This window comes from Homo sapiens, chromosome 16 (genome assembly GCF_000001405.40).
Source record: "Homo sapiens chromosome 16, GRCh38.p14 Primary Assembly".
NCBI lineage: Eukaryota > Metazoa > Chordata > Mammalia > Primates > Hominidae > Homo > Homo sapiens.
Genome location: NC_000016.10, coordinates 18,502,206 through 18,516,776, shown reverse-complemented (window position 1 = coordinate 18,516,776; position 14,571 = coordinate 18,502,206). Strand labels below are relative to the sequence as shown.

The following is a 14,571-nucleotide window of genomic DNA, read 5'->3' as shown; positions in this document are numbered from 1 at the left end:
AGGCCCTGACTGGTGGGGATTCAGGAAGTGTGTGTTAGTTGGTCATCTTGTCAGTCATGGTGACAAAGTGGCTGTGGTGGGGCTACTGGAGACCGGGCAGTGGGGGCATCTGAAGACACCACTTTGCAGTGATGCAGACTGCTCCTTACTTGCTGTGTCCTATCAGGCAAGTTACTTTGCCTCTCTGAGCCTCAGTTTCTTTATTCATTAAATTCAAATATGAGCCAGGTATGGTGGCCCACGCCTGTAATCCCACCGCTTTGGGAGGGTGAGGCAGTAGGATCGCTTGAGCTTGGGAGTTTGAGACCAGCAACATAGGAAGACCCCATCTCTACAAAAAATAAAAAAATTAGCTGGGCATGGTGGTGCATGCCTGTGGTCCCAGGTACTCAGGAGGCCGAGGTGGGAGATTTGCTTGAGCCCAGAAGGTTGAGACTACGGTGTGCTGTGATCGTGCACTCCATCCTGGGGGACAGAGTCAGGCCCTGTCTCAGAAAAAAAAAAAAAAAAGAAAAGAAAAATTAAATATGACTTCTACCTCTCTGAGTCATTGCAGGCAGGTGATACCATCAGCTGCCGTTGTTAGAGTTGTGATTGCCACTACCTGACTGTGAGTGGTGATTATAGAGAGAGGGTTACTATTTTTGGCTGCCAGGGAAGCCATGGCGCTCCCCTGGTGTAATTCTGGTCCATCGTGACATTCGCCCCTCACTTTTAAGCCATGCCTAGATGTGGCTGCTGAGGCTCAGTGTGATTATCTTGGCAGAGCCCTGGCCAGTATTACTTCAAACCCATGATGAAGGAGTTCCGGTTTGAGCCATCCTCACAGATGATCGAGGTGCAGGAAGGCCAGAACCTGAAGATCACCATCACGGGGTACCGAACCGCTTACAGGTAAGTGCCCTGGCCACCCCACTCTCTTCCAGGGCTGGGCTGGTGAATCACATTCAGGCCTCTGTTGCCTGGAAACGCATCCCAGGCTTCACACTGATTTTACTTGGGAGGGAAGGGAGATGAGATATGAGGGCAAAGGAGTTTTGACTGCTGCCCTTCTCTCCTAGGAGCTCAACCTGGTGGTTCAGTCTCAAATTTCCTATTTTGGAATTGGCTTGAGAGAGCCTATTGAGTTGCTAAAAGCTTTTATTTATTTTTTATTTTTTGAGACGGAGTTTCATTCTTCTTGCCCAGGCTGGAGTACAATGGCGCAGCCTTGGCTCACTGCAACCTCTGCCTCCCGGGTTCCAGCAATTCTCTTGTCCTGGCCTCCCAAGTAGCTGGGACTGCCACCATGCATGGCTAATTTTTCTATTTTTAGTAGAGACAAGATTTCACTTTGTTGGCCAGGTTGGTCTCGGACTCCTGATCTCAGATGATCTGCCTGCCTCGGTCTCCCAAAGTGTTGGGATTACAGGCGTGAGCCACTGCGCCTGGCCACTTTTATTTTTTAAAAGAGTTTCAAACCTGAATTACATCATTAAAAGGAGAAAATGTGCTCAGTTGAATAAAACTTCAAAATGCTGAAAAGAGTATAGTGTAAAATTTCCCCTCTGTCTCGTCTCCTAGCCACCCAAGTTCCTCTTCTGGGAGACAACCAGTACTTCCAGTTTTTCTGAATGCTCCCAGCTGTAGATAGATAGATACACATGAGTGTCTGGCAAGGCACAGTGGCTCACACCTATAATCCCAGCACTTTTGGAGGCTGAAGTGGGAAGTTCTCTTGAGTCTGGAAGTTCAAGACCAGCCTAGGCAACATAGCAAGACCCCGTCTCTACAAAAAAATAAAAATACAAAATAAAAAAGATACACATCTATAGATAGAGAGATGCATACATATATACATGTATACACACAGATACACACATATGTGTATTTTTTGTAGACTTATACAGAATCACTTTAGAGGAAGAGTAATTGGAAAGATTGGGTTTAGAAAAATGGACCATTTTCTACTGAATATATGGAATGAAAGAGGAAGTGAGTTATTTCCATGTTATTGAAAGCTCCATTATTTCAAATAAAGCCTAGAAAGAATAAAATAAAGCTTTAGCCTTCTTAAATTACAATTTTCCAGAGCATCCCTCAAAATGTATGAGAAAAGAAATTGATGGCAGCTTATCCCTCCGGCAGGAAGGTGTGGTTTGAAAGTGGGCCGGCCACACCGAGTTGCCTGGGTCATTGAGGCACAGTTCTCCCCTGAACTATTTTGCCCCATAATTGTTGGTAAACGGGAAACACTTGGGTCCTTCAGATAACCATGAGAATATCTCATTCGTGCCTGTTCTTGCCATACTAGTTGCTATGGCACAGTGTCTTCCTTAAACGGAGAGCCCGAACAAGGGGTTGCCATGGAAGCGGTGGGCCAGAACGACTGCAGCATTTACGGAGAAGACACCGTGACAGACGAAGAGGGCAAGTTCAGATTACGTGGATTGCTGGTGAGACTTGGAATGTGTTTTCTTTGGGGACTTTTTTTTCATCCTGTGTCCAGAAGTATCTTGTGGTGGCCCCAAGACTGCTAGGAGTGGGTTGGGCGAGAGGGCTGGGGGTGGGGCTCTGGAGCCCTCCCAGTTCTTACCTTTAATTGGTAGAGTTTGCCTTTTTTCTAGCCAACAGGTCAGATCAAGGATCTGTGGCACAATGGAGTTGGAAAACCATGGGTTTGGTAGGGCTTTTCCCTAGCAGTGTGTGGCCATGGCTTACGCCAGGGCTCAAGCCAAACGCCTATGGAGCCAGAAGAGCAGTATGAACGGGGGAGAGGAGGCTGTGCGAAATGATAGGGAGTGGTGAGGGCTGTGGAGTGGGCACGGCCTGTGGAAAGGGACAGCCTGTCACTTGGTTCCAGCTTATTGTAGCCATGGGGGAAGACAGAGTCAGGGTTGCCAGATCCTTGAAATTTTAAAAAGAGAAGTCAGAAATTCCCACTTCCCAGAAATAATACCCAACACAAGCATTTGGGAATGCTTATGGTGGACATTCCAGATATCCATCAATGTGTATATACGGGTAGAGGGGAGGGGTGGATGGAGAGGAAAAACATCTTAGAAGAGTAAGAGCACATAGTATGCTTGGAATTTTGAAATAAGAAACCAAATTTGATTTATTTTGGGGTAGGAGAAAATGAAACTGAGTTGGGATGGAAGGAGTCGCAAAATTTCAGATGTTTCAACACTAGGGGTGTTCTTAAAGGAACTCTGGACTCTTAAGGTTAACAGGCCACAGATTAGGAAATGAGGGGAGAGAAATGCTCCTGTCTTAATGATCTCGTGCAGCCAAACCAGGCTTGGACCAGGCACGATACGACAAGCCCCCTTTCTAGAGAACTGACTCCTGAGTTTTTTTGCAGCCGGGATGTGTGTACCACGTTCAGCTCAAGGCAGAAGGCAACGACCACATTGAGCGGGCGCTCCCCCACCATAGGGTGATTGAGGTAAGGCATTCAGTGCTGCCGCTGCACCTGGGTGTGGGTGCCTCCCTAATCAGAAGTCCTCCCGTCTCCTCTGGCTGTCTGCCTTTCATCTGTGGCGGGGGGAACTTTCATCCTAATTAAGGGTCCTCTTAGAATAGTGTCATCTTCACAAGCAGAATCTTATGTGGGTTTTTAGTGAACAGCGTTGCTGTCATGCATCCAGAAAGGAAATTGGAACTGTTGTATCCTCCCCGCAACTTGCCCTGTAAGCTCTGATCATTATTCTGCAAGTTAAGGAACTTAAGGCCTAAGCAGCATTTCAAATCAAGGGACAATAATAGCACATGGGCTTAATGGGTGGCAGGGCCACGCAGTTATCTTAGGTTCAGATGACCTTTTTCCTGCTCCCATTTTGTGGGCAGAGTCTTTTGATACTCAAGATCATGACCTAGCTAAATTAATCCCTAAAGAGGACATCCTTCGAGTCACAGAATGTGGCCTGGGAATCATTTGAAGTAAGGCTTTTCTCTTACTGAGTAACTCTCATTGGGAAGACTAGAGGGCTTAGGTAGGGCAAGAGGGGCTGCCTCTTAGTGGCTTTATTTAGGTGGCTTCATTATGCATGAAGATTGTGAGGGAGGATAGAACTTTTGACCTAGGAAGTGGATTTTCTTTTTTTTTTCTTTTTTTTTTTTTTGAGATGGAGTCTCACCCTGTCACGCAGGATGGAGTGCAGTGCCGTGATCTCGGCTCACTGCAACCTCCTCCTTGTGGGTTCAAGTGATTTTCCCACCTCAGCCTGTAGCTGGGACTACAGGCATACACCATCACACCCGACTAATTTTTGTATTTTTAGTAGAGACGGGGTTTCACCATGTTGGCCAGATTGGTCTTGAACTCCTGACCTCAGGTGATCTGCTCGCTTCGGCCTCCCAAAGTGCTGGGATTACAGGCATGAGCCACCGCACCGGGCCGGAAGTGGATTTCCTTGACGTCTTTACGGTGTTGGCATTTTAAATGGCTGGGATGACTGCATCTCACACCAAAATGCTTTGCATGTTCTCGGTGTAGTAACTTAGGCCAGGATCACTAGCATAATGTGGACTGTGGCCGGGCAGGTATGAAAGGGAAGGGGGCCGGCCCTCTGGGATCTCGCAAACTCCATGTACAGACCTCACGCAGAGGGGGTGCTGTGACTCTGCCCCTGCTCTAACAGGCAAGAGCATCCTTCTCCTCTTTTTTTTTAAGAGAAGCTGGAAAATCTGGCTTCATATATGAAATTTCTTAATTTTTAACATGTTGGCAAGTAATTCAAACGTAGAAAAAAAATACTGTGCTTTCGAAATGAAATGTGTCTATGGGCCAGGGATATGCCCCTGCTCTAACAGGCAAGAGCATCCTTCTCCTTTTTTTTTAAGAGAAGCTGGAAAATCTGGCTTCATATATGAAATTTCCTAATTTTTAACATGTTGGCAAGTAATTCAAACGTAGAAAAAAAATACTGTGCTTTCGAAATGAAATGTGTCTATGGGCCAGGGATAGCCATCTTCTGTCGGTTTGTGACCTTGGACGTAGGGTACTCAATGACAAACTTAGCTTCCTTAATGTAAGAAGCAAAGTTTGCCATGAAGCAGCTCTCAGGCCATCGGACAGCTGGCATAGAAGTTCCTCCACCAGCTTTCTCATTACTGGCATTCCCTCTTTCTCTCTCTAGGTTGGGAATAATGACATCGATGATGTAAACATCATAGTTTTCCGGCAGATTAATCAATTTGATTTAAGTGGAAATGTGATCACTTCCTCTGAATACCTTCCTACGTTATGGGTAAGTCCAGACTTTTAAGCTCCAAGTATTGTGTTCCCTTTGGCTTTGAGACAAGTACGAATGGGATGTTTTTGGTTTTGTGCCTGTCTCGTGCCTTAGGTGTGACAGGTGGAGGTGCTCCAGAGTGCCGCCTGCTGAGGGTTGAGGTTGAGATTTAAGAACCTTGGACCACAACACGTATTTGGGAGAGTGATTGCCAGTTGTGGGAGAGAATGTGGTCCAGTTTCAGATAACTGTCTGCCATCAGTTAATCTTCCAAAGAATTATAGTAGAAGCCTGATCAATGATCAATACAATATGGAATCTAACGTGGAAAGCCAATTCTAAAGAAAGCGCCTTGTAACTTAAAATTTTCTCTGGAGTGGAGGTCGTATTAAACGTTCTTGCATTGGTTTAAAGAAATGCCTGAGGCTAGATAATTTATAACAAAAGAGGTTTCATTGGCTCCTCGTTCTGTAGGTTGTACAGGAAGCATAGTGGCGTCTGCTTCTGGGGAGGCCTCAGGAGGCTTCCAATCATGGCAGAAGGTGAAGTGGGAGCAGGCATGTCATGTGGGAGAAGCTGGAGCAAAAGAGAGAGTTGGGGCATGGTGCCACACACTTTTAAATGATCAGATCTCACAAGACTCATAACGAAGACAGCACCAAGCCACGAGGGATCCACCCCAAAGATCCGATCATCTCACAGCAGGCCCTACCTCCGGCACGGGGGATTACAATTCAACATGAGATTTGGGCAGGGACAAATATCCAAACAGTATCAGAGGTGGTGGACGGTGGGCTGGAGAGCAGGTGGTCTGGGCTTTCTCTTGTCTCCAGTAGTGACTCACCTTGCTGCCTGGGCCAGTCACTTCATTTCCACATGCCTCGACTTCGTCCTCTGCAAAACCTAGATTTTGGACTCAGAGACCTCTTATAATCTTGTTCAGCTCTAACAAAATCTCCATGTTACCATTAATGAAGAAATGTTTATAAAATACCCTGCAGACCCTCTGCGGATGTTAGTGATTTGCTCTGGGGGTACATTGTTAAGATGCGCTTGTAATTTTATAAGCAGTTAAGTATTTGGCATGGGTGAGAAAGTGTGTGTGCGCTTTAGTCCACTCTGTCCAGGGCTTGCAGGCGTGTGCTTGTAGGGACCAGGCAGGTAATGTCAGAGAGTGCAGAGGGTTGGGTAGGGTGGGGGGCAAACTGGGGAACTCCTGCCCCATCCATGAGGGGCACAAGGGAGGGGAAGAGGCAGAGAGGAGGGGAGGGCGCCACTCTCTTGCTCCTGAGTGTTGCTGTGCTAGAATTGAGGCTCAGGGTTGGTGTCACTTCCCAGTTTTCCGGAGAAGCTGGAAATTAGAATTATTTGAAATCACCTGATTTTTAAATATAGTCGGTGAATTCAGATTTACTTAAGATGTTATAGAAGAAAAAAGAACACATAAGGGATCTTCAATGCGACCCATAACCTTCAGTCTGTGACTTTCATTTTAGGAAAATTCCCCTGGTGTGTTATGTAGAAAGGTGCCAGTGTGGGCCCAGGGAGGTGGTCCTGGCATTCTCTTGCGGCAGGTGCACTGTGGCATCCTCACAGCCTTTGCCATCAGCCAGGGCTGCACCTTAACCCTGCTCATGCCCCATCCCGTGTGGGAGTGAGAACAGGCAACAACCCCAGAAATAAAGCCAGAAACAAAGTACTCCAGTGCCTCCTGAAGCAGCGTGGAGAGCCACGTACATGATGGAATGCGTTTTGAGTTTAACAGATTGGTGGAGTTAAGGTGACATCATATGATGAGGCAGTGCAAGGCGGGAAGGACCCTCAGGAGTCGTCAGGGGGTTGAGTCCCAGGCTCTACCATGTGTAAGTTGTGTGACCTTAGGTGACTTTGGCTCTCTGGGTCTCCATAGGGATAATAACAATACCTGTTTTGTAGTCAGGATTGGCGATAATGTAGATAAAATATCTGGCGCCTGCCTGGCATATTACAGATGTTCAACACGTGTTAGAAGCTATTTTTAATATTACTATTATATTAACTTATATTACTATTTTGAGCAAGAACATGGGTAGTCAGAATCTGATTTGAATCTTAATTTCTGTGCATGATACATAACTGGATGGAGTCTCAGATGACAGAGGGATGTGTGATGTCTATGGAGGGAGCTTTCTTTTTCAAATATCCATGTTTCCAAAGACACCTACCCAGAGAGCGGCTGTCCTGAGGATGTCTGCTATGAAATATTGATTGTGTTTCAGTTTCAAAGCATGTCTGACTTTGTTTCTCCCTCCAGGTCAAGCTTTACAAAAGCGAAAACCTCGACAATCCAATCCAGACAGTTTCCCTTGGCCAGTCCCTGTTCTTCCATTTCCCCCCACTGCTCAGAGATGGCGAGGTAATGCCTGTGGCCGGATTCTACCTTCTGCCTTTGTTTTAATAATTCTGCTGTTTAGTTTAAGGAAGCACAGTTCTCTCCTTTTCTCCCTAAATACCACTCTGCAGAAATGCGCTCTCTGAATCAAAAGAGGTTGGGTTCTGTAGGGATTATTTTTTCTTCATTGTTTTTCTGTTTACAAAAAGAATACATATTCATGGCAGGAGATTTTGGGAAAAAGAAGACATAAGCCCATCATCCAGAAATAGCCACTGCTAACATGGTGATTGGTATCCTTTGGGTCTTTTTTCAGGCACGTGTGCGCATGCATGTATAAATATAAATAGACATTTATTTTAATAATTCAAAACTGACACTGTTTTGTACATTGTTTTGTAATCCATGCTTTTCAATGAAGAATTTATCACAAATCTGTTCCTCATCATCAAATCTTTCTTTTTTTTTTTTTTTTGAGACGGAGTCTCGCCTTGTCGCCCAGGCTGGAGTGCAGTGGCGCAATCTGGGCTCACTGCAAGCTCCGCCTCCTGGGTTCACACCATTCTCCTGCCTCAGCCTCCGAAGTAGCTGGGACTACAGGCGTGCGCCACCACACCCGGCTAATTTTTTTTTTTGTGTATTTTTAGTAGAGACGGGGTTTCACCATGTTAGCCAGGATGGTCTTGATCTCCTGACCTCGTGATCCACCTGCCTCGGCCTCCCAAAGTGCTGAGATTACAGGCGTGAGCCCCCGTGCCTGGCCAAATCTTTCATACTATGATTTTTATGGACAGTAGTCCATAAACTAGGAAACGCGATGATTTATTTAACCAAGGCCTACTGTTGGGCATGATCGACTCTTGCACTTTGAACATATCACCCCATGCTTTCCTGCTAAGAAGTCCACTTTTAAAAATGCCTTGTAATTTTTAAAAATTCCTCTATTTTAACATTCTGCTATTGAGTTTAGGGAAATACAGTTTCCTCATGATGGGGGATCCCTTGAATGAGATGAGTTGCTTTTCTCTTGCTGCTTTGAACGTTCTCTCTGTCTTTGATAATCTGATTATAACGTGTGTCGTGTAGAACACTTGCAGCTCCACCTTTTCAGTGTCCTTTGGGTTCCATGAATCTGGATGTCTCCCTCCTTGGAACTGGGAAGTTTTCAGCCATTATTCTGGCCGTCATTTACTGATTATAAAGTGCTTATTATCAATTCTATTTGGACAGAGCTAACTTGTAGTTGGTGTGGGGAGTGCAAACTTTGCAAAGAATTTGGTTCTTTTCTGGTGGTCTTAGCCTGAGGATGTCAAGTGTGAGCCTAGAGGGTGACGTTTCCTCTCCTGGCTCCTTACCACCTGCCGTGAAGATGATCTACTCTGGCCTTTCTCTGTGGAAAATGGCTGCGAAATAATGAAACAGGCTGTCACGGAATTTTCTCCTCCTCTTTCTCCAGGGGTGTTGAAATAGTCACTTCCTACAGCGATGCGGAAACATCTTGGGCTTTGGGGTCACACTTCCCCTGAGTTCAGAGCCTTCATAGATGTGTGGCAGCCTTCTTAGCTGAGTGACCTTGGGCAAGTTACTCTTAGTCTCTTCGTGCTTGACTTTCCTCGTCTATAAGACGGGGTGATGATCCCGACCTTGCCAGTGGTAGAAAGCAAAGCAGCCGCGGGCCTCATGCAATGTGCATGGTGCCTGGCAGCTGGTCGGTGCTCAGCACACAGAGCTGTGGCTGCCCCTGGTGCCGTTCCAGGGATGCTGTATTTTTAGGATTTGCCAGCTTACGAGCCTCTCAAGCATCGTCCCTTAGAAGTCAGCCCCGTTGTGGATCCTCAGTTGTATCACGTACCTCCCTCATCAGAATTGGCTCATAATAATTTTTTGTGTTTCATAAAGTCAGATCCTCAGAGGACCGTAATTGTCAAGGTTGGGTACTCATAAAAAGGCTGCAGGCTCTGACAGCCTTATCAGAAGCCACAGTCTCAGAGACACTGGGGACACATGCCCGCCACTGATGGAATAGCCCGCTGAGGTTGATACTTTGAAGGCAGCAACCTTGGTTTGGATGTGTAGTCTTGGGGATTTCTTTAAAAACATAAAGTTCTTTACATCACAGCCATACGTTAGGTTTTAGTTTTCATTTGCTTTGCCAGAGCTGTCCTTATAAAAATAACTTCTTCCCATGTGTGCACAGAACTATGTTGTGCTTCTGGACTCCACACTCCCCAGATCCCAGTATGACTACATCTTGCCTCAAGTTTCTTTCACCGCAGTGGGCTACCATAAACACATCACCTTGATTTTTAATCCCACGGTAAGTAAAAGAGGGAGTTAAAAAAAAATCCATGGGCTGGGTTTGGTGGCTCACGCCTGTAATCCCAGCACTTTGGGAGGCCAAGGCTGGTGGATCTCTTGAGCCCGGGAGTTTCAGACCAGCCTAGGCAATACGGTAAAACCCCAACTCTACAAAAAATACAAAAATTAACCGGGCGTGGTGGAACGCACCTATAGTCCCGGCTACTCAGGAGGCTGAGGTGGGAGGATCACTTGAGCCTGGGAGGTTGAGGCCTCGATGAGCCATGATCATGCCCCTGCACTCCAGCTTGGGTAACAGAGTGAGACCCTTTCTCCAGAAGAAACAAAACAAAACAAAACAAAACAAAACAAAACAATCCATGGGGTGGCGAAAGAAGGCATGTCCATACAACCTGTGCTCCAGGTCGCAGGTTGCAGGGCAGATATTTAAAGGGCTCCTGGCATTGGGTCACTTTCTCATTCTGCCTTCTGGATTCTGGGCTTCCCCAGATTGTTTTTAGCTTTTCTGAGCACTGATGCCTGCGATTCCCTTTGAGGAGGAAACTGGTAATAAGAGCAGTGTAATTGTTTAGATCGGTGGCTCAGGAATGATTTTGGGGGAGGAGGGACACCACTATCGCTGGTGTGGCGTGTGCTTCTCCATGAGGGAGCACATGGTACATGGCCACGCAAACCCCTAGAACCAACTGCTACTTTACAGGAAATAGGGAGGACCCAGGAGCACGCAAATGACTCCACAGGGATGCAGGACAACCACCTGGAGCCTGATTTGTTTGACAAATAAATTGCAAGGAAAAAAAAACCAACAACAGATGGACAGAATACCTGTGGGTTAAAAGAAACTTAACTTATCGCTTAATTCATTGCAATATGTGGCCCTTACTATTTGCAATATGTGTATCTGTTGCATACGGTCTGTCCTGTATCCGATAGGCTGGAACAGTGGAACAAACAAAACATACACGTATCTTTTACCTTCTTGATAAAATTGTTTAGTGATTCCTAAAGCTCAGATGCAGTATTGTCACCTGATGATTAAACAGACACATCAGCAATAGCAAAAACAGAGTCCAGGGCTCAGCCTCAGGACTGCTGATTCTGAACTTGACGGGGTGAAAGTGTAGCACAGGAGTCTGCATTAAAAACAAAAATCTGGCCTCATAGCTACTGTGTTGGTTGTTGCTTCTAGGCCTTTTCAGTGGGCAGAATAAGAACTTTATTGTTTTCAAAAGATGTAACTGTAAGTGGAACAATATCCTCCGATCCTCCTTTTTCCTTTTTTGATAACGACACAGCATTCCTCTGTGTGGATATACCGTGTGTCTTAGGCCATTTGGGCTGCTATTTTGTATCTTAGACTGGGTAACTTATAAACAACAAACATTTATTTCTTACAGTACTAGAGGCTGGGAAGTCCAAGATCAAGGCATTGGCAGATTTGGGGTCTGGCGAGGACTTGCTGTCTGCTTCATAGATGGTGCCACCTAGCTGTGTCCCCACAAGGCGGAAAGGGGCAAACAAGTTCCCTCAGGCCACTCTTACGGGGCATTAATCCCTGACTTAATCACCTCCTAAAAAGGGTGTCCTCTTGACACTATCACATTATGGATTAGGGTTCAACCTATGAATTACGTAGGCACAGACACATTCAGATCCTGGCACTACATGTAGGATATTCAGTTAGCCCCTGGTTGAGGGGCGTTTGTGTTGTTACTGGTTTTCTGCTATTACACATAACCCTTTAATGAATTGCCTTACGCATGCATGTTTTTGAGTGTTCGTCAGTCTCTCTTTGGAATAGACTCCCAGAAGTGGAATTGCTGAGTCAAAGGGTAAATGCATACGGAATTTTGATTGATACGGCCATTTCCCATCCATGGGGGTTTTACTGTTTTATATTCCCGCCAGCAGTGAATGAGTACCCTTTTTTCCCCAACAGAGTATTTTGTCAAATTTTTCAATTTTTGCAGGCTTATAGATGAGAAGTGATATTATCTCACTGTACTTCTAATTGCATTTCTCTCTTTTCATGTGGTTAAGAGCCATTTGTATTTTCTGTGAACTATTTAACCTATTTTTCTATAGAATTTTTGGTCTTTTTCAACCATTTTCAGCTCTTTGTATACTAGGAATATTAACCCTTTGTAATGTTTGTTGTACATATTTTTCCCAATTTGTCATTTATCTTTTCACTTGGTTTCTGCAAAGATTTACTTTATTTCTGTGTTAAATGTGTTGATTTTTTCTTATTGCTTCTGGATTTTAGAGTCATAGGAAGGTTTTCTTCATTCCCAGCTTTTACAGGAATTTATCGTGTTTTTTTCAGGCAGACTTTTATAGTTTCTGTTTTTACATTTAAATCTCTCTATCCATTTGGAGTTTTTCCTGGTATAGATGTGAAGTATGGCTCCAGATTGTCTTTTTCCACATGCTATCCAGTTACCATTTCATGCTTTTCAAACGCCATCCTGCATGGAAGGTGGACAGGAATTACCTTTCATTTAGAGATGAGAAGATGGGAACCTAGAAGGAGATGTGAGCAGCCCAAGGTCACCAGCTCACGTGGAGCAGTGCTAGGGCTTGAGCAGAGCTCTGCTGCTGATTCTGGGCTTCTGTGAAGAGTGATTCATGCTCAGTGAGCCTGTAAATATGATCTTACCTGAACAAGAGAGTTTTTCTCATGACCCACGAGGAAACACTTCCTTGTTACTCACAGTAGAGACCTGGTTAGAAAGTGCTGGAGAGGGCTAGGTGTGGTGGCTCACGCCTGTAATCCCAGCATTTTAGGAGGCTGAGGTGGGCAGATCATTTGAGGTCAGGAGTTCGAGACCAGCCTGGGCAATGTGGTGAAAGTGAAACCCCATCTCTGCTAACAATACAAACATTAGCCAGGCGTGGTAGCACGCACCTGTAATCCCAGCTACTCGAGAGGCTGTGGCAGGAGAATTGTGAACCTGGGATGCAGAGTTTGTAGTGAGCTAAGATAGCCCCAGTGCACTCCAGCCTGGGCGACAGAGCAAGACTGTCTCAAAAAAAAAAAAAAAAAAGAAAGTGCCAGAAAGATAAGCATATACAAGAACCACTTACCTTTGCTTGGGGCTGCATTGTGGCCCAGTTGCTGGGAGAGGCTTCTGTGAAGGCCGTTGATAGCTGCAGGCAGTGACATTCTCAGGGGCCCCTAGCAGACAACTCATCCGGGCTCAGGGACACACCTGGGAGCCAGTGGCAGGAATGTGGAGACACTGCTTGGTGGTGGCCGAGCAGCCCAGCCTCGTAGCTGCTGCCTGTCACTTCTGAGAATGTAAGAAACTGTGCCCTGGTGTGTGATGTTCCCCTTCCTGTATACCTATGTAACTAACCTGCACATTGTGCACATATATCCTAAAACTTAAAGTATAATTAAAAAAAAAAAAAAAAGCTGTGCCTGCTGGGGCTTGGATTCCCGAGCAGGGCCAAGTGTTGAATGAAGAGAGCGCCCACTCTGTGCCACCCCGTACAGGGCCCTCACAGGTTGATCCTCACAACAAGCCTTCAAGCAGGTGTGCCATTCCTCCCATTTTCACAGAAGCCCAGAAAGATTGAGTCACTTACTGAGTGTTAGCAGAACCAGGACTCAAGTGAGGCAGTTTGTCTCAAGCCACATGGTTTCCACCTCGTTCTGCCCTCCGCGTGATGAGTGGCTCAGCATTGCATGTTCACGGGGGCTTTGTAAGCACATTGGTTTCCTTCTTTGTTGATGTGACTGCCCACAGCCTCGCGACTGGATTTTACTCAGTATTCCATGCCCTGCTGAGCATTTCACATACTCCTTTCATCAAGTTTCACAGCATCCACCCCCAGTGGGTGTTGTTCATATGATCTCCATGTCATAGTTGAGTAAACTGAGTCTCAACGTGGTTGCCTGAGTTTACCCAGTGAGGCCTGGGACCTGAGCCTAGACTGAATCACTCTTAATTCCTGCTGAATTAAACTTTTATTTATTTATTCATTATTATTTTTTTCTGAGACAGAGTCTTGCTTTGTTGCCCCTGCTGGAGTGCAGTGGCACGATCTTGGCCCACTGCAACCTCTGCCTCCCGGGTTCAAGTGATTCTCACCTCCTGAGTAGCTGGAATTACAGGCATGCACCACCACTTCTGGCTAATTTTGTATTTTTATAGAGACGGGGTTTCACCATGCTGGCCAGGCTGTTCTCAAACTCCTGACCTCAGGTGATCTGCCCACCTCAGCCTCCCAAAGTGCTGGGATTACAGGCGTGAGCCACTGCACCTGGCCTGAATTAAACTTTTAAGTAAGTGTTTACTTCAGTGGAAAAATGGGTTGGGTTCTAAGAGATGTCCAGAGATACAGGAGTAGGCAGTTGTTGATGGAAATCTGTTCCTGCCCTTATTCTTTCATTTATGAAAGGGCATCCCAGGTACAGCGGCCCCCACAGTCACTCTCTAGCCCAGCAGTTCTCGGATGGGTTGGTTGCAGGACCCCTTTATACTGTTAAAAATTATTGAGGATTTTAAAGAGTTTGAGTTTGCATGGATTATCTCTGTGTATATTTATCATATTAGTAATTAAAACCGAGATGTTGAAAACGCAAGAACTCACAAGCTACACATTCCGTTAGCTGTGGGCGTGATGACATCAGGGTGCGTAGTCTCTGGAAAAGTCCAC

General features: G+C 45.7%; 1 protein-coding gene across 2 annotated transcripts in view; it reads left to right on the top strand.

The window, feature by feature from the left end:
• Window positions 1–14,571, top strand: part of NOMO2 (NODAL modulator 2) — a 62,186-nt gene that overhangs the window by 45,336 nt on the left and 2,279 nt on the right. For both annotated transcript variants that reach the window (NM_001004060.2, NM_173614.4), the window contains exons 24-29: window positions 767–894; window positions 2,294–2,435; window positions 3,344–3,427; window positions 5,121–5,231; window positions 7,510–7,611; window positions 9,785–9,904. In NM_001004060.2, the coding sequence (NP_001004060.1) occupies window positions 767–894; window positions 2,294–2,435; window positions 3,344–3,427; window positions 5,121–5,231; window positions 7,510–7,611; window positions 9,785–9,904 (687 nt within the window). The remainder of the gene's footprint in view (window positions 1–766; window positions 895–2,293; window positions 2,436–3,343; window positions 3,428–5,120; window positions 5,232–7,509; window positions 7,612–9,784; window positions 9,905–14,571) is intronic.